General features: G+C 34.4%; 1 protein-coding gene across 3 annotated transcripts in view; it reads left to right on the forward strand.

Moving 5' to 3' along the window:
* The window catches only part of HCRTR2 (hypocretin receptor 2), a 178,245-nt gene that overhangs the window by 121,268 nt on the left and 35,718 nt on the right, over window positions 1-21,259 (forward strand). For all 3 annotated transcript variants that reach the window (XM_017010798.2, NM_001526.5, NM_001384272.1), the window contains one exon: window positions 20,903-21,081. In XM_017010798.2, the coding sequence (XP_016866287.1) occupies window positions 20,903-21,081 (179 nt within the window). The remainder of the gene's footprint in view (window positions 1-20,902; window positions 21,082-21,259) is intronic.

A 21,259-nucleotide genomic window follows, 5' to 3' on the forward strand; every position in this document is an offset into this window, starting at 1 on the left:
GGGGGAAAGGGGACACTAAAAAGGAAGAGTCAATTTCTACTGTGAACAAAGCAAAAAGCAAAAGGAGAGATAAATGGAATTAAATTAAAAATGAAATTGAGAGTGTAGATAAATCTATGTAATGAAGATGCTAGTAACATAGGAAGAGAAATAAGATAGGGTATAACAGTGATTATTTTTCCTAATAAGTAGTGTCATGGCAGTTGGAAGACAAGAGATTATCCAAGCACTGGTTATAGTCTGAAAGATGAGGTGGTAGCTTACTTGTTTGGGCCTCAGGCATTGCAGTACAAACAGACAGTGAGGGAGGAGTCAATTAAGACTTATACAAATGCAGAAGTCATGGTTGAGGTAGTGAGAGGATTTCCAGGACAGTGATGAATAACAGAACCTCAGCAGAAGGAGCATGTGGACCCAAAGCATCATACGAATAATGATAGGACCAAGGGAAAAGAAGTCAAGCGGAATGGGGATAGACAAAAGTTTTGAAATTTATGTGTAAGAGTTGAATGAAGAAAGTTATTAATAAGACTTACACAACAAAGAATTTCTACATAGAAGTTGAAAAGACAGCAACAGAGTTTAGAGTTTAGGAAAAAAAATTAAATATTAAATTTTAATATGTAATATTGTAGGATTTGAATACCTTAAAGCTGAAATTCAGTTTTTGATGCTGCTTCTTAGCATCTTTGTCTTGACATGTATATCAAAATGTAAGAATGTCTGTATCTTACAATCTGTGATTCTTGAGAAGTCAATGCCATATTATTCACTACATTCATTCTTTCTTATTGGAACCATAATACTTTCTTCAATAATAATGTCAGTAGACATTCTAAATAAATAAAAAATATCCAATAACATGCCCCAATGTTTCACAGGTATCACACCAATAGCCCCTGAGATATTGTCACATTCCATTTATCTGCAGAAGTCTTATTCAACTTTCTGTATTAAGTACCAAGAAATTTCTTAGGCAATTAGTAAGTTCACTTGTATTCTTAAAACTTCACAGAATGAAAAATTAAAAATTTTAATCTCTTTTTCTAGAACAATTGTTTTACAAAGACTTTTCAAGGTTTTTTAATCCTATTTTTTGACAAAATAACATATTTTAATGAAAGTAAACATGTAGAAATGACTTAACCAAAACTAGCTATTGACAACTTTTCAGCACTTTTTTTTGGGTGAATTCAGGAACAAACTTTGTATTCATTTTATTAATCCACTAAGTAGGGTTGCTTCACTTCCTTGGTTACTGTGCATGTGGACGAGGCTGATTTTCATGGTGGGATGTTAAAAGGAGGGATTTTTGCAAATCAAACCACAGAACCATCACCTCACACTTGTTAGGATAACAAACATTAGCAAAACCAAAGATGACAAATGCTAGCAAGGATGTGGAGAAATTGGAACTCCTGTATATGCTGACAGAAATATAAAATGATGCAGCCACTATAAAAATTTTTTGTTTTTGAGAATGTGTCTTGCTATGTTGTCCAAGCTGGCATCAAACTCCAAGACTCAAGTGATCCTTTCACCTCAGCCTCCTGAAGAGCTGGAACTATAGGCATGAACCACTGTGCTGGCTTGGAATATTTTTATTTTCCTCAAAAAATCAAAAATAGAATCACCATATGAGCCAGCAATTCCATTTTTGGGTATATATCCAAAATAATTTAAATCAAAATGTTGAAGAGATATCTGCACTCTCACATTCATTGCAGTAGTCTTCACAAAACAACCTAAATGTCCATCCATGGATTAATGGGTAAAGAAAATATGGTCTACACATACAATGGAATATTATTCAGCCTTAAAAAAGAAGGGTATCTTTCTGAATGCAACATCATAGATGAACCTGCAGGACGTTATGCTAGGTGGAATAAGCCAGGTATAGAAGGACAATTATTGCATGATTCTACTTACATTAGGTATTTGAAATAGTCAAACTCATGGAAACAGAGACTAGAATGGTAGTTGCCAGGGGCTGGGAGGAGGCAGAAATGAGGAACTGCTGTCCAATGAGTATGTAGTTTGAATTATGAAAAAATGAATAGGTTCTAGAGATCTGCTGTACAACATTGTGCCTACAGTTAATGATGCAGTATTATGCACTTAAACATTTATCAAGAGAGGAGATGCCATGTTGAGTGCTCTTTTCACAATGAAAGTACAGTAAAATGAAATGAAATATACAGCAGGCTTTACACACACCGCTTCACAGGCAAAAACTACTTGGGAAACAAAATGGAAGGTCCCCAGAGTCGTGAGGGAAGTAAGGTATGGTACAGGGTCAAAATGGCTGTACCTGGAGCTCTCTGACTGGTCAGGCACCAACCAGCAATACTCTCATGCCTTAATTATAGTTTACTGCTGAGATAATTGAGAATGAGAGCTCATATTTACTAACCAGGATATGAATAGACTGAGAACTTTAAATAACTTTCCTTTAATTCCATAAAAATCTCCATTCTGTTTTAAAGTCTTTAGTACAGATTTTAGATGTAATAAACTGCTAAGATTTGAGCAACAACTATAAGCATAATAAATGGTTTGCTTTATGGGCAGTTTTACACTAATGCCTCTAATAATAATAACAGTAGCAATAACAAAAATGACAGGATTCTTAGGACTTCATTACTCAGAGCATAATCCCTAGAAAGCAGCAGTCATTATCTAACCCAGAAACTCCCAAGAGTTTGCTTAACACTTTAAAATGTATAATCTAAATTAAAGAAAATATGAGTAAATGGTATTGTTTCCCCTGAATTGAAGTAATATGGGATGTGTTGAAAGAATACATCAAGACATTTTTCACTGTCACCTAGCCTGATGACTGACATAGATTAATTACTACATAAATTTCCTCTTCCATTTAATACTGATAAACAGATTTATGGGACTTAAACCACAGTACACAGTTTTGTATTTTGTACGAAATGGATAATCACATTTTAAAACATGTGTAAGGCATATTTGCAAACTTGAAACGTCGTCTTCCATAAATATATGCTGAACGAATGAATTAATGAATAAAAATTGAGGCAAAAACTCAGGTGTGGCTCAGTCATCTGAATGTTATTATCCAATGAAACAGGTCAAAGATTTTTTTTTTTTTTTACGGTTCATTTCTAGCCAATAAGACCAAGGTTCATTCACTTCACCTCTGTATAGAATCCTTTGTTGGGGGCTGCGAGGAGGCAGTAAGAAGTATCACATCTAATCTTTTCCATAATTAGCCAAGTTAGTTGGTACTTCCCATAACTCTGATACCCATAGGCCCTTGCTATTTCTAGACTTGAGTGTCATTCAGAAATATGGTTTAGGCGAGCACTAGGAAAGATACACAGTTTTTCTAAAACACATTATCCAATCAATATTCTACTTATAAAAGTCAACTACACACACTTCAGTCATGAGGTAAAAAAATGAAATTTATACATAACACTCACTTATGTTTATCACTCACTTATATTTATAATAATAGACATACAGGTATTCTATTAAAGGAACTTTTTAATGTTTGACCAGAAAAAATTTCAATATCCCTTTTTATTAAGTTTAAGTTACTGTAATGAAATTAAACATGTGAAGGGAGACTAATACTCTCTTTTAAGAGAAGTAAGAATGAAATATCCATATAAAATACACTGCATTATTCTCTTTGTTTCAATGGCAAATAGAATCAAAAGGAATAACCCACTTTATTTAACGGAATATCTGAAAGTGTTCCACTTATTTATTTCTAATTTTAACTATGGAAAGTACTTGCATTTTTTTTTAGGAAAGAAAGCCAAGATTTTATAAAGTAAAAATCTGCTTTGTGTGCCTTTCCAAATTAGAAGAGAAATGTATCATCTTAATACAGCAGATTCAGTTATTATAAAGACCTACTCCATCCAAAAAATTGAGTGAAATAAAAAGAAATTGACTTACTTGTTAAAGAGAAAAGATTGCCAAGGCTTGCAGACTTGTGAGGTGGTTAAATAACAAACTAAAGACTAGCGAATATGAGCTATTTTGTTTGACGTGCCTTCCATTTAATAAATGCTGTATCAATCTAGCTGTTTCTCTATTTTTAATCATACATTTTGTTGTTGCTCTAAATTTAATCTTACCTTATACATTGTATAATAGATGTCCCTTAAATACATCAAATTTAACGTGTTCCAAAGAAAACTCATAATCTCCTCATCTCCATCCACCTCACTCCTCCTGCTGTGATCAGTCTCTCCGTTTTTGTTCATTGTCCATCATCTTCTACAGAACAGATGTGTCCTAACCCACTTTCCTAAACACATTTTTGTATACAAAATAATTTCCTTTTTTTAATTTCAGAACTCTATTCTGACAAACATTTGGCTTCAACCTGTAATTAAAAACTTAACAATACTTAATAGTTGCCTCAAAGAGCATCCCCTCTTTGTCAATGTGAGACTATTTACATTAATTTACATGTAATTCAGTTTCATACTCATTCACTGGGGTGTGAATATTAGTCAAACGGGCAATTAATTAATACAATCTTTATATATTCACTTATTAAAATGCACCACACAATTCCTAATTTATTGAGAGTTCTCACTAAATCTATGGGATGTAAATTTTGAAACAGCTGCAGCTGTTTATGCCATTGCTCTTGTTGTCCAATAGAGCCAAGTGGACATTCTTTTTTGTTGTTGTTCTTTCCTTGAATAGAGTCGAAATTATGAATCTAACTTTCTCCGACATGTTGTCTAAAAGGATATCATCTTACCTTACTCAGTGTGAGCCCTAAAACTAGGAAATGTTTATCAATCTCTGATTGCAGATCAAGTTTAACTATCAAATACAGATTAACTTTTCAGCAAAAATTTGTTAAATATTCAGAGATAGAAATCTTGATGTTGGATGACAAAGATCACTTGTGAAGAACTTTATTAAGTTTTATTTGGTTGAAAAATCTATAATTTTTAGTGAACAACTATCATCCATTATGTTCCAAGCTTTGTGACAACTGTTTTTATGTCCATTAAAACAGTCCTATAAAATAGGTACAAGTATCTCAATCTTATACATGTCAAAACTAAAGCACAGAGATGCTAAATAACTTGACTAAACAAGATATTGAAGGTGAAGTCTGAGATAGATTTTTAACTCCGAAGTGCATAAACTTTACCTCTATATTATCTGTCTTCAAAAAGAATGATTTTAAAGATTAGGCTTTTTTATTTCAGAAGAAAATATTTTTACACAATTCTAGATTCTTAACAGTAATTTGAAGGAATGAATGTCTGATGATTCAAGAAAAGTGAGGTACATTTTAAAGGAAAAGTGACAGACAAAAAATGGATTTTTGAAAAATGAATAAAGCTGCTTTTTTTTTTTTTGATGGTGTCTTGCTCTGTTGCTCACGCTGGAGTGCAATGGTGCAATCTCAGCTCACTGCAATCTCCGCCTCTCGGATTCTAGTGATTCTCCTGCCTCGGCATCCCGAGTAGCTGGGATTACAGGCGCCCACCACCAGACTCAGCTAATTTTCTGTATTTTTTAGTAAACATGGGGTTTTACCATGTTGGCCAGGCTGGTCTCAAACTCCTGACCTCAGGTGATCCACCCACCTCGGCTTCCCAAAGTGCTGGGATTACCGGCATGAGCCACCACGCATGGCCAAAGCTGGTTTTTAAAAGGGATCATTGTACATTATTATCAAATTTCATTTGAACGTCAAAAATTCTGAGGCAAGAAGGAAATTGAGCCCAGGAGTTTGAGACCAGCCTGGACAAAATGGCAAGACCCCATCTTTACAAAAACAAAAATAAAATAACACTAGCCAGGCATGGTGGTGCACACCTATAGTTGTAGCTACTTGGGAAGCTGAGGTGGAAGGATTACTTGAGTACAGAGAAGAGGTTACAATGAGGGAGGATCGTGCCACTGCACTCTAGCCTGGGCAAAAGAGCAAGACCCTGTCTCTAAAGAATAACAAATAAATAAATAAAGTCTGGACAAGCCTAAAATCAGTAATATTTGGGGAATATGCAAATAGTCTTTGCTTTATTTACTCAATTATTGAAACTATATTCAAAAATAGGAAGTAAAACATGATTTAATATTATTTAGTAAGTTAAACATGTTATAATAATTTGGAAATCCATGTATGTTAGTTAAATATACATTACTATAAAATGTAAATCAGTGTGGTTTGTAGCAGAGACCTGGATTTTTTATCTTTGTAGTGTACCTACACCATCACAGAAAGGTTTGCCATCAGTCTCTAGATTAGGTGCAAATTCATTTAATGTGATCCATCCTATTATCTAAAAGGTCATTCTGTTGTTTTCAGCCTTCATCTAAGACACTCTCAGATACTATTTCAGGAATTTATGACAGCAAAATGATATAAGGTGACAAAGTAGAAATAGGTGCTATGCTGCTTTACCTATATTGAGTTATTTTCTTCTCTCCAGGATCAGATATTAATGATAAATTCTCTAACATCAAAAAATAAAACCTAGGTCATATAAATTTTACACAATCAATGTCAGTCACTCAGCAACCATTGAGAATCTACTATGTTTAGAATGGAACACCTGACTTATAGAAAAAAAGGTAAAAGATTGGTTTTGTAAAATGACACATACAATTTAAGAAAAAATAGGCTATCTATATTAGATAGTTAAAAGAAGATTTTAAAATACGATAAGAAGAGAGGGGAGAAATGGCTAGATTAATTTGAGGATTACCTAGTGTTAAAATAAGTCCAGATTTAAATCAAGTTTATTAATTCTGAAAAAGATCACATCCTAAAGAAGGCATCAAATTGACCCATAAATGTGGATAAAACTTCTGTAAGATAATGAAAGCCCTAGAGAGTAATGTTCAACTCCATTTTCTAATTGGCAACAAATGTATAATATGGGTACACCAGAATATCTAACTCAAAAAGTGGGGAAAAAAACTCAAAAAGTACGAAATGTTGGCAAAAATGCAGACAGCTAGGACACTCATACCAGCTGGTAAGTGTAAAAACTAGTACTGCACCAAGCACTTTAGAAAACTTAACGGCAGTTATGTAGTAATGGTGATCATATGCATACTCTATGATAGCAATTTCACTGTTAGATATATAACTAACAGAAATTTGCACATATGTGTCAGAAGACGTACATAAGAATGTTAGTAACAGCCCTGTTTACAATAGCCCTGAATTAGAATGAACCAAAATTTCCATCAATTGTAGAGTATTTCAATGATAATATAATCACACACTGGAATGAAAATGATGGAACTACTACTAAACATACAACCTGGATCTTACAAACATAATCATAAGTGAAAGAAATTAGACACAAAATAACACATAAATGTTGATTCCACATAGATAAAGTTAAAAACAGATAACAATTAATCTATGGTGTTACAAATCAGTATACGGATTTCCTTTTGTTGGCAGGGGGGATGTTGTTGGAGAGGAAATAGGAAGAGAGCTTCTGGGGTGCCGGTCATATTGTACTTCTCAGTCTGAATAGTAGTTACAAGGGTATGTACACTCTGCTGTAATTTGTCCAGTGATACATGATGGTTTGTACATTTTTATACATGTGTGATAATTCAATAAAAATATCTGAAAAGCTACAACAGCAGTGGCAACAACAAAGCCCATTAACCACAAGAAATAATCATGTAAATTGTTTTCTTCAAATAAATGTGTTGTAAATAACTTCTCTCACTCTTTGGCATATATTTTTGTCCTCTTTTGATATACCCTAATTTTAGGTTTGTTTAATTTTTCAAACATGTCCTTTATGTTTAATACATTTGAGGAAATCTGCTTAAGAAATGCTTATCTACTCCAACATCTTATCAATGGGAATTTTATTTTTTTAACTGTCAAATTTAGATCTATAAGTAACCTGGAATTTATGTTTGTATATGATGTGATGTAGAAATCAAATTTTTATTTTTTCTATGTAGATATCAATTTATTCAGTATCATTTGTAGAAAAGATACTTCTTTGATAATGCAGTACATGGCACTTTTGTCATATGTCAAGAGTCCTTATATACGTAGGTGTGGATCTCAACTATTTTTGTTTGTTTTGTTTTTGTTTTGGATCTCAATTTTTATTCTATTCCCTTGATCTACATTTATATCCTTGTACCAGTACTATACTGTTTTGTTTACTGACACTTTGTATTAATATTTGATAGCTAATGTAAATCCTTCAAATTTGTTTTTCCATAATATAATACTGACTAATTTTGGCCCATTATATTTTTATATAAATTTTGAAATCAGCTTGCCAGTCTTTACCAAAGGAAAGCTAGCATTTTAATTTGGAATGCATTGAATCCATATATCAATTTTAGAGAAAACTCACAGCCTTACAATACTTATTCTTCGATTCCATGAGTAGGGTATATCCCCCTATCCATTTAGGTTATTTTTCATATTCCTCATATTTTACAGTGCAGAAATCATGTGTTTCTCATTATTTTTTTCCTAGATGTTGAACATTTATTATTCTATTGTCAATAGTATCATCTATTTAAATTGCATTTTCTAGTTGTTTTTATTTAATAGAAACATAATTGATTTTGCATATATACATTATATTTTATATATCAATTTCATGTGCTCTTATGTTACATATTGTTTTATATTCAGCAAGTGTTACTAAGGTATTTATTAAGATTAGTAGTTTATCTGGAGATTCTTTCACACTTAATAAGTATGCCCTCTGTGGATAATGATAGGTTTTATTTAATCCTTTCCAAACTTCATTATTTTATTTATTTTTATTGCTTTATTACCCTTGCTCCAGCACAATGCTAAATAGAAATTACCATAAAAGACTTTGTGCACTTACTCCTGATCACTGAGGGAAAGACTATTTATGTGAATTAGTATTTGTAGATATTAACTTTTGAGAATTTAGCTGTCAATCCCAATATGACAACTTGGAGGTGATGCATTTTTTTCTTCCTGCTTTAAGATTTTTCCTTTCGTCACTGGTTTTTCAGCAGTTTTATGATAATATAAGTGGGTGTGATTTTCTCTTATATTTATCCTGGTTGAAATTTATAGCACTTCTTATATCTACAAATATATACCTTTAATTCGTTTTGAAAAATTCTTAGATAATGTATTTGCCTTGCCAATATCTTTTTAAAGATTGCTTTTGTCTCATGCTACTTCTATACACACATATTGAGAATCCAATCACAGGTATAATAGAATTTTCACCATGTGTTATGCACACTCTTCTGCATTTTCCTTTTTTCCTCTCTGTTCTTTAGCTTGGATATTTTCTATTAGTTTGTATAATCCTATTAGATGGTTTTATCTAATCTTTCTTTCTGTTAAATCTCTTTGTTGTGTTTCCAGTTCACATATTTTTAAGTTCTATAATTTCCTTGGACTATTTTTCTATTTTTTATATTCTTTATAATATATCTACTTTCTTGACATTATTAATTCAATCATTTTAAAATTTCTGAAATATTTTATGAAAAATTGTAGAAATTATTTTATGTTCTAGATAATATTATCTTCTTTCACAGAGAATTTGCTTTTGCTTTGGCCAGCAGCTAGTGTTGGGACAGAAAACCACTATCCCGTCAGTCACTGGAGGCTTTGGAAGCTGGGCTTCATTCTTTAGGAGAGCTTGTCTACTTCAGATTTATCCCTATCAGAGTTCATAACTTGGAGTTACAGCTGAAAGCCAGGGTTGTTTACCTACTTGATAGGCCTTGAACTCCAATTATCATCTTATTTTTGGTTAGGTACTAAATTTCCGGCTCAGCATCTCATATTATCAGCTTTGTTCTCTGTTTCTCTTCTCCTGTTCTTAGCTAGAGTTTGCAAATTGCCAAAAACTTTGAGAAGAAAAGAGGCTAAATGCCAGAGCATCTCCCTCTTGCATTTTCTCCAGGATATTGGCCTTTGATGTCCCTTCTGCCTTAGTAGCTTTCCAATGTCTTAAAGAAATGTGTAACACTTCTGGTTGTTTTAGGTGGGAAGTTTGTTCTGCAGTAAGCTTATCTGCCGTTACCAGAAATAGAAACTATTTTGTAATAGTAAAACAAATGTATACTTTCGTACTACAATATTTAGTACTTCAGAGAACAATTGGCACTTTCTGGATATTCTCAACCAGGAGTATGTGGTTGAAACTGCACAGTTTTCTGGAGATGATTTAGGTTCTTCCCTTCTTACTCTAATTCTGTCACTGGTTGATCTTATCCACTCCACAAGCTTTAATCACAATTTCTATTCTGATGAATCCCAAATATTTACATGTAAAGAAATTATATCCCCTGGAGTATAGAACCATAAATCTAAATGCCAACTGGGTATTGACACTAGGATAACTCACAGGTGCTTCAAAATTACATATACAAAGTTGAATTTCTCATCTTCTATCTACTCTTACAAAGCTACCTCATTATCCTTTATCCCCTAGCTCAGTGAGCATCCCCAGCTGTCAAGCAATATACCTGCTAATCATCCTCAGTTCTTCTTACTCTCTCATCCTCATATCTAATCCCTCACTAAGGCCTGATATTTCAACCTCGTTATTATTTTTGGCATTCACCTTTTTCCATTTTTTGGTTACCAACTTGCTTTCTTGGAATTTTAAAACTGTCAGTATTAATCTCTCTGCTTGCAACATAAAGACATATATTTTCCACATATTCCGCCTAAGTAATCTTTGAAAAATAGTAGTAAGATATTGCCATTCTGTTGCTTAAAATCTGTCAGTAATTTTGTAATTTTCCAATTCTCCATAGTCTGTAGGACAATATCCAAATGTTTTAACTGAATACACACACACAGAAACACACACACACGCTCACACACATTTTATGATTCATACTTTGAGTTTAATTGAAAGATAGAACATCTATAAGATGAAAACAGTTGTAGTCAGAGATTCTGGTATGCAAAGTAGGAGAGAGAGCCAAGAACTAGAGGTATAACTTTGAATTATAATATTGGGTTGGTCTTCTATAGATGAGACATAAAGTTGTGAGAGTCAATAAGAACAACTAAAGAAAGATAATGAAAGAACAAAAGACAAGTGGATTAAAGACAGATATGCGGTGAAAGAGAAAAGCATTTCTACAGAAAAGACCCCCAAAATAAGTTCATTGCAGGTAGTAAGATGAACAGAAGTCAAATGTCTTGGGGAGGATCGGATTGGTTGCTTGTGTATGTTAATTAATGCAAAAGGGTCAAAGAGAAGGACTGACTTTATGGCCCTGTAGAACTCTGAGAACAGGGTCAAAATCCAGATGCATTTCTAAGACATCACACTGGGAACGGGGACTTGTAATGAGTTATCTACAAAGTGTAAAAAGATGTGGGTGACCAAAAGGTTGTCATTTCCTCCAAAACAAATTTTCCTGGAGTGAAACTGTAACTACCAGGTATAGTCATTAATAGAACTGCAGACACTAAGACTATGGAACCTTCCGTCTTCCTAACCTTTTCCTCAGGCCAGCCTTAAAGGCCTGTGAAGATCTATTAATAACACTGCTGTTTTGTTCTCTGGCAGCTCTTGGTGCCAGAAGGCTTGGTGCCAATTTGTGGTTGAGCCCCTCCTTGGGAGAAATCATGCCATTCAGAGACAGCTGATAAGTCAAGCCTATTTTCCCACTTTCTTCACTGTATTTTTCCTGTCTGAAGAACTTGTTTATGGATTTGATTTCTGTAGAGATAATAATCACAGGATTCAGTGGTATAGCATTCCTCTATGCATTTTCTCCCTGCACATTTGTGTGTGTGAAGATACTCTTTCTAAATCCCTTTCAAGACAAATTATTAATTGTGATATATTAATTATTCTCCACTGTACCTAACGGTTATCAACACTACAGAGGCACCATTGGTTGACAAAAGTGAGAGCTTTTCTCAACATTAACATAATGAGCAAGTGGCAATGAGAAAATATTTGTCCAATTAGAGACTTTTATATTTTCTTTTCTTGAGGAAATAAAACCCGAAACACATTTAAGATACATTGCTGTTTGTGCATAGGCGGTAAATTTTTTTTTTTTTTTTTTTTTTTGAGACGGAGTCTCACTCTGTCGCCCAGGCTGGAGCACAGTGGCACGATCTCGGCTCACTGCAACCCCCGCCTCCCGGGTTCAAGCGATTCTCCCGCCTTAGCCTCCGGAGTAGCTGGGATTACAGGCGCATACCACCATGCCCAGCTAATTTTTGTATTTTTGTAGAGATGGGGTTTCGCCATGTTGGCCAGGCCGGTCTTGAACACCTGACCGCGGGTGATCCCCCCGCCTCGTTCTCCCAAAGTGCCGGGATTACAGGTGTGAGCCACCGCGCCCGGCCAGTAAATAGTTTTGAAGTTTTATTTAATCCCAGCACTTTGGGAGGCCGAGGCAGGGGGATCACGAGGTCAGAAGATCTAGACCATCCTGGCTAACACCGTGAAACCCCGTCTCTACTAAAAATACAAAAAAATTAGCCAGGCGCGGTGGCGGGCGCCTGTAGTTCCAGCTACTCAGGAGGCTGAGGCAGGAGAATGGCGTGAACCCGGGAGGCGGAGCTTGCAGTGAGCCGAGATAGTGCCACTGCAGTTCGGCCTGGACGAAAGAGCGAGACTCCAGCTCAAAAAAAAAAAAAAAAAAAAAAAAAAAGAGTTTTATTCATATTCATATTAGATAACCATTTGGGTGGCACATTTCACAACACAGATGCACTTCTTAAGAGTCCTCCATCCGTCAGCGTTGTAAAAAAGGAAGTGGCACGTTTGCATGTAGTTCTTCTGAGACGGAGATTTAGGGACAACTTTGCCAAGGTGTGTAGGTGGAGAATGGGAGATTGAGACAGGCATATTGGCTCAGGAAGACAAGGGAGTAAAACTAGCAATAGAAAGGAGGGCCAATGCCGTAACAGTGTGATGGAGTGAAAACAAGAAAAAGGAAAATGCCTCAGGATTTGGTGGAGAGTTTGTTTTACCTTTTTAAGATAATACTCCTGGTCAGCTTCCCAGGTTCTTAAGTCTGGATACTGTAATGATTTTGGATGACTGCATTCCATGACCTGTTTCAAGGTAGGTTTTTTGAAAATAGGAGTTAAATATAGGCTTTCTTCCCTATGTATTCAGTTGCGTTTTTTTCTTTTTCATTTAGAAATGTTGTTTTATTTCACGTTCTCTTATTTATATTTAATTGAGATGGTGTTGGCCATTTTATCCTTCTTTTTTTTTGTTTTCTTTTCTTTTTTTATTTTATTATTATTATACTTTAAGTTTTATAGTACATGTGCACAATGTGCAGGTTAGTTACATATGTATACATGTGCCATGCTGGTGTGCTGCACCCATTAACTCGTCATTTAGCATTATGTATATCTCCCAATGCTATCCCTCCCCCTCCCCCCACCCCACAACAGTCCCCAGAGTGTGATGTTCCCCTTCCTGTGTCCATGTGTTCTCATTGTTCAATTCCCACCTATGAGTGAGAATATGCGGTGTTTGGTTTTTTGTTCTTGCGATAGTTTACTGACATTTTATCCTTCTTTAAACATTATTTTCTATCTAGAAAATCCAACTTCAAATAAATATACTCAGTTCTACATTATAAAAAGTATTACAATGAATTTAATGCTTAAAACTCATTCCGGAAGTGACGATGGAAGCAGGTTCAAATGCTTTCACTGACACTTTGTGGCAAAGTGTGGAACTACAGTATATTTTTCCAAGTTGTTTCCTGATATATTTTTTATGTACATAACAATCAATAAATTGTTATGCTATTTATTTATGTACTTATATGTAAATTAAACAACCAAGAAATCGCAAAGTGTTTTATTAAGATGATATCTAAACTGAAATATCACAACTTACTACAAATAATACTTTGTTTCAAAAATAATTTGAATTGCATATAAAAATCACAGTTGCTGTGATTAACATTGCATTGATATATTGGAACTAAGGTTTTTGGAAAAATTGTGTTTTCTTTCAATCTTTTAAAAAATACCATATTTATAAAATGAGTCATTAAGATTATCCCTAGGCATTTTCATTCTGTATTGAAGGTTTTTGAGGGACATCATTATTAGTTCAAAGTGTGTTTCACATTTTGTAGTCTGTCTTACTATGGCAACTAATTTTTTTTTTTTTTTTTTTTTTTGTGAGAGGGAGCCTCACTCTGTCGCCCAGGCTGGAGTGCAGTGGTGAAATCTCGGCTCACTGCAGCCTCCACCTCCCGGGTTCAAGCGATTCTCCTGCCTCAGCCTCCTGAGTAGCTGGGATTACAGGCTCCCACCACCAAGCCCAGCTAATTTTTGTATTTTTTAGTAGAGACAGGATTTCACTATGTTGGCCAGTCTGGTCTCGAACTCCTGATCTCAGGGGATCCACCCACCTCGGCCTCCCAAAGTGCTGGGATTACAGGCATGAGCCACCACTCCCAGTCGGCAACTAATTTTTAAAATTGTGGTAAAATATACATAATATACAATTCAACAACTTAATCAGTTTTAAGTGTATAGTTCAATGACATTAAGTATATTCACCTTATAGTGCAACCATCGTCACTATCCACCTCCAGAACATTTAAAATTTTTTAAAACTGAAACTCTTCACTCATGGAACAATAATGTCTCCTTCCCCTCTTCTCCTAGCCCCTGGGGGAAAAAAAAATCTACTTTCTATCTGTCTGATATGATTGCTCTGAGTACCTCATATAAGTGGAATCATGTAATCATTGTCCCTCTCTGTTTTTACCTTATTTTAATATAATCAAAACTAAATAAATAAGCAAATTCTTAAAATAAAATTGATATATTTAGTACAGATCCTTTTGAGACACTCAGTGGTCCACTAATTATGTACCATATCCAATCACATCACAATATCATAAATTTTATAGTCAATTATTAGTTGGCATTTCAAGGCCCAAGTATATGTTTAATAAGAGACACAATCTTACATATGCAGTTTACATGTTTTTAATCTAGTCTTAGCACCAGCATATCACCTTAGTTTACATTTGTCTAAGTGCAAGTATTGGTTTTGGAATGTAATTTTGCTCATATACAATCTGTAAGATACTAAAACAAAAGCTAGTTTATTATAAGTGAAATAATGGCAAAGGCCATTTTAAAAATATTGTATTATTTTCCCATTTGAAAATCAGTTTAGTCTTTAGCCCACAAAATAACAGGAAAATAACTTAAATCATAAAAACTATATCTGAATATTATTTAACATATTTTATAAAGATATCCTTCTTTGGATCATGGCTGCAGATGTTTTCATGCAGCTTGAGCCACTTTCCATGTCTTACGGAGAATGTGCAGGAGCTATATATCATCAGATTCTTTCAGAGAAAGAACCGGTAAGACAAATGACAGTCTGAAAGATAAAGGAAAAAAATAATTGATATCTTCTTGGCACCTCTGCATTTCAAAAATACTATTTCAATAAAGTCCATGTTAGAGGTGGAATTCAAGAATTCACTGAATCTGCATTCTTGCCTTCTGCTATCCTCTTTTGCCCTCATTTGCTCAATTATTCCTCACTCCTGGTTAATGAAGGCAGGCTTTTAAATACAGACTAACCATAAATTGACTTTAATATTGGTGTTTAATGGTTATTCACAGAACTGATTTAAAATGTGGTATCAAGTTCAGGTCCTGGGATTTACCAAAGTTCATCAGAGGACACAGTACATGGCGAATTGAGAACCATAGCCTACTTTATGTCTAAGAGAATATTGACAAACAGCTAAGTTCTCTGTGAGCTCTCAGATTTCACTCAAAAGAAATGAAGAAAGTAAATTCTCTGTTTAGACTTTGTGCCTTTTTTCTCCTTTTAAAGAATTTGCTCATCGGAAAATATACCATACCAATGGCAGCAACATACTATAAGTTTATGAGCAAATCAATTCCATCCATAGTTACTGCAGAATGTATTATAGGCAGTATTTTTGTTGGGAGAAAAGCAGCAGAAACTTAGCAAAGTAAGGGAAAGAGAAAAAGCAGCTTATAATGATAAAGAGCCTTTGTGCCCGTAGAGAGATAAGAAAAAATACAAAAGAAATCCATAATGATCCACAATAATTTTAGAATGCAATTTATGGCCATGAAGGGTACAACATGTGATTGGGTATCAAAGAAGAAAGAAGTCATGTTAATTTAGGCTAATTAAAAGATATTTTGTGAAGCAGAAAGTTTTTTATTTTGTTGGTTGACCAGTTGATTTTGGACAGTTTTGGATACTATTTAATTGGTTAAAAAGCTATTGAAATGGAGTATCAACCATTTCCAGACAGAGGAATGGCATGAGTGATGGTCTGGGCACGGAATATGTTTGACACACAGTGAAATATCAGATTCACTCTGATGCTCTGTGTATTTTACGGGAAACATTATAAGGGATAAAGGGCAAAAATTCAACAGAAACCCAGTTACTATTGGCCATCTGAGAATTTTGTACTGTCCAGGAGAAAAGAGAGCTCTCATTGAAATGGAAGAGTTAATACAACAAGACATTGTGCTTGTCTGTACTCCTATATATTTTATCCATTAAAGGAATTAATGGATTTTATCCATTTTATGACATTTATTATTTTATGACACTTATCCATTAATGACATTAATGGATAAAACATATAGGAGTACAGACAGGCACAACGCATGGGGAAACTATTAGGAGGTCACTGCAATACTCTAGCTAATGGTTACAACAATCTGACATTGGGTATTTGCAATAGGAATAGAAAGAATATAATAGAGGAAAGAGATATTTTGGAGATTTCAAGCATAATTAATGGGAGAAAATGGAAGCTTATACTTCAGAGAAGCACAAAGTCCAGTGATAAGTTTAAGTTGTATAAATTTAGTGTGCTCTCAGGAGAAGGTGATGTTTACTTTGTACTTTTACAACCTTGCACGGGTGAGTGGGTTACTGAATAAACAAATAAATGTTTGTGTAACACAAATTTAGAGAATGTGCAGTTGTAGATATATATGTAGTTCTGAATAGTCCATTTAAAGACAGATACTAGGTTTTCTTCCAGGGTTTCTAGAGTTTCGGGTCTTACATTTAAGTCTTTAATCCATCTTCAGTTGCTATTTGTATATGGTGAGAGATATGGGTTTAGTTTTGTTCTTCCGCATATGGCTAATCCAATTTTCCCAGCACCATTTATTGAGTAAGGCGTCCTTCCCCAGTGTCTCTTTTTGTTGAGTTTGTTGAAGATAAATTGCCTGTAGGTATGTGGTTTTATTTCTGGGTTTTCTATTATGTTCTATTGATCTATATGTCTATTTTTATACTATTAATAGTATCATGCTGTTTGGGTTACTATAGGCTTATAGCATAATTTGAAGTCAGTTAATACGATACCCACAGCTTTGTTCATTTTGCTTAAGATTCATTTGACTATTTGGGCATAGCCACAGTCTTTAAATATTTGAATGGACATAATGTGAAAACCACACTTAAGATATGTTTAAACGGCACAGTAATATTATCTAACACAAACTCAAAATTCAAATGTATCCAGTTGTCCCAATAGCTTTCTTTATAAATATCTTTTTTTCTTTTTATTTCTTCTTAGGATTGAAAGGTAAATATCCTAGCATCTACACAAGGGAACCGATGTGTGTGTGTATATATATATATATGTATATATATATACACACACACACACATAGGAATACATACATGTATATATACCAGTATACACATAGAATACATAGGAAGATTTTATATATATATATATATATATATATATATATATATATCTTCCCCAAAAGTGTGCCTTGGCTTTTAAAAAAGCTTACAAGATCTCAAACTGTCTTAATAGACTGACAGTAACCAAATCAATCATCCTTCTCATTGTTGCTCTGAGTAGATTGCACCTGGAGAAATGATTGCAGGTATGGATAGCTCACTTAGAGCTATTACTGATAATCTGAAGTGTGTTCAGAATAAAATAACCAGGGTGATGGGGAATGAAAAGCCCATAAGTTTCACATGATGGATTCTGATTATCTTTAGGCTGGAGAAGCATAGGCTAGGGAAGTGGGCATAGCTGTTGTTGTTAAATACTTGAATGAATGCCTTTTTGATTTGAATTGTGTTTCTCCAAAAATATATGATTAAGTCCTAATGATCATTACTCAGAATGTGACCTTATTTGGAAATGGGGTCATTGCAGATGTAATTTGATATGGTAAAGTCATATTGCAGTAGGGTGGGCCTTTAATCCAATATGACTGGGATCCTTATGAGATGATGGCCATGTGAAGATAGAAACACAGTAGAATGTCATGCACTGACAAAGGCAGAAATTGGAGTTATACTGCACAAGCTAAAGAGCACCAAAGATTGCCTGAAAACCACAAGAAAATAGGAAGAGACTAAGAAGAACTTTACTACAGCTTTCAGAGACAGGACAGCCCTGCTGACACCTTGATTTGAGAGTTCTAGCTCCAGAACTGTGAGACAATAAGTTTGTATTGTTTTAAGACACCAGGCTTATGGTACTTTTTTACAGCAGCCTTAGAAAACAAATACAATGTACATATATAGGTAAAGCTTATTCATTCAGTTCCAAGAAATAATTAGGATCTTGTAAGCAGAAACGAAGGGAAAACAGAACATGAACAAGAACTTGCTAGTAATTAAAGCCACTGCAAAATGAACTCAAGGGCTCCAGCAGGTTTTAAATTACCTGGTATTATAAATGTTCAAGCAGGATGAATCAGAGATGGTGCAGAGGTGATTATTCATGCATCAGATGGAAGGTTAGACTGAATAATCTCCAAGTGAAAAAATTATATGATCCTATCTTAAAGCCCTGTCAAATAGAGGTTGGTAGCTTCCTTTTCATTTTCTGCTTCAATCAAGAGGATATATGGATGATATAGCTTGGTGGATAACACTTAAATTGAAGACCTAGTACTTAGTTTTACTTTTACTTACTCTAGTACTTAATTTTTCTTAGGTAGGCCCCTTAACTTCTCTCTCCTTATTTTCCCACCTGTTAAACAGAGATATTAATGCTATTCACTTCCTAGTGTTATTATGATGAAACTAGTTAATAATTTAAAAAATGCTTAGAACAAGGCACAGCACATAGTAATGACTAAAGAAAGAAGTGCTTTTGAACATATATTTGCTCTACTATTGTCTAGATTGTCTAGATATAATGCATTAAGTCTTCCCACCAGTGCCATTGCTCGTGTCCAAAATACAGAGTTAAAAGATTAGAAATAATTGCATGTTTTCTAAGAGTCCTGCGCATTTTCCTAGATCCAATATTGTACTATTTGGACAATTTATTGACCAAGTACCAGAAATATAATATTTTTGCCAATTTTCTCATAACAAACTGTGATAATGTGTATGTCAACTGCTAGGGTGGGTTTGTGTGTGTGTGAATATGTGTGTGTGTGTGTTTCAAGTGTTTATAGAAAATAAATCACTCAATGGCATAATTTTCAAATAATAAAGACTACAGTTACCCTGATTAAGGTTCACCTGAGTTTTGGATATTACCACGTGAGAGTTAGAGGACAATGTGAAGTTTTCAAAATTAAATCCTCTGAAATCCAGGTATCTTGTTAAATTGACATCTGTTGGTAGCTGACAGCCAATTTCAGCTTCAGGAACTAGTAAGAACATTTTCCAGCTTATGAAACTATTAATAAATGTTACATAATTGTCCAAAGAAATCCTCATTCAGTGATTCAAATTTAACAAAATTAGGTTTTATTTATTCGCTATGTAAAGATACTAATCCCTGCATTATTTGGGTGCATGGGTGACAGCTCTGACAGGTTTGTGATGCCCCAGACAAATTCAGTAACTTTCAGTGAAGCAAACCCATGAATAGATGTGATGGCAGCGTGTACACCTATATAATTCCAGAGCTAGTGATTATGTAACTTTTATATACGTCAGACCGAAGGAAGACAGAGAATGGAGGAACTGGGTGTTCTTTCAGTAAAGAGCAACTGAATGAGACAGTACATCTTTTGAACTGGGGATATACTACAAGGCAATGAGGGAGGCTGGCTATGAAAGTATTGAAAAATATGTTTGATTGCTGGGTGATGTTTAGAGGCCCTAAGGTAATAGAAAGGAGACAAAATTGAGAGTCTGGAACTTATATGTACTTTATTACAGTACTCTCATTTTCACCAAAGAAGGCAACCCATGTGGTGAAAAGACCACAAGCATTGGAGCTAAAGCCAAGTTATAGCTGTAGTTTTATATTTTGTGAGCCCATATGTCCTCAGACAAGTTTTGTGAGTTAATTTCCTTTGTCTCAGCTTCCTCTTTTATAAAATGTGGGTGATATCATTGTCCCTTAAGATTGTTGTCAGCATTAAACAACATAAGTATATGAACCATCTAGCTCGGTATTTGGCAATGGTAGGAGCTGAATAATTGTTAGCTCTTACCTTAAAAAATTATTTGTTAAAAGTTCCAAATGCAGGGTTCAGGAGAAGATATGGGTCAAGGTCATGGATGAGGCAAACACTACAATTCAATAAAAATTGTTAGTTCTTAATTTATCTTAACTCAGCAACCGTTTCTTGAGACTCTACTACATATTGAGTACTGAGGGAATAGAAAGATGAATCAAAGACCATTTTAAAACATCTGGCATTTGCAATTCAAAATCAAGTAAAAATAAATACAGCCTTATGATTTATTGAGAAATGTCATGCAAGGTAAATGAACTGATTTTAAGCATGTACTTAGCATTCACACAGATTGACAGATTCAGTGAAAACACGGCACAGCCTTCAATTATTTTTCTTTTTAAATACATATTTGTGGACTTTATAGAAATACTGACAGTGTTTCCTCACCAATACCTATTTTCTTTGTTGAGTGCCTATTCCTTTTTCTTTTCAAATTAGTTTGTGTGGCAGTGTGGAAGAACCACCACATGAGGACGGTAACCAACTACTTCATAGTCAATCTTTCTCTGGCTGATGTGCTCGTGACCATCACCTGCCTTCCAGCCACACTGGTCGTGGATATCACTGAGACCTGGTTTTTTGGACAGTCCCTTTGCAAAGTGATTCCTTATCTACAGGTAATTGTTTTTAATGCTTTTTTGAAGCTACTAAAAAGAATGTTCAGCCATAGCGATGGCCCTTATGGTAAATTAACTAGTGAGTTGAGAAATATATTTGCCTAAGGCATTGACAAACTGAAGGAAAATAATACTTGAGAATTTCTGGAGAAATAAGTTAAGTTCTGGGTAAAAATTA

The sequence above is a fragment of the Homo sapiens genome, chromosome 6, assembly GCF_000001405.40.
Source record: "Homo sapiens chromosome 6, GRCh38.p14 Primary Assembly".
NCBI classification, from domain to species: domain Eukaryota; kingdom Metazoa; phylum Chordata; class Mammalia; order Primates; family Hominidae; genus Homo; species Homo sapiens.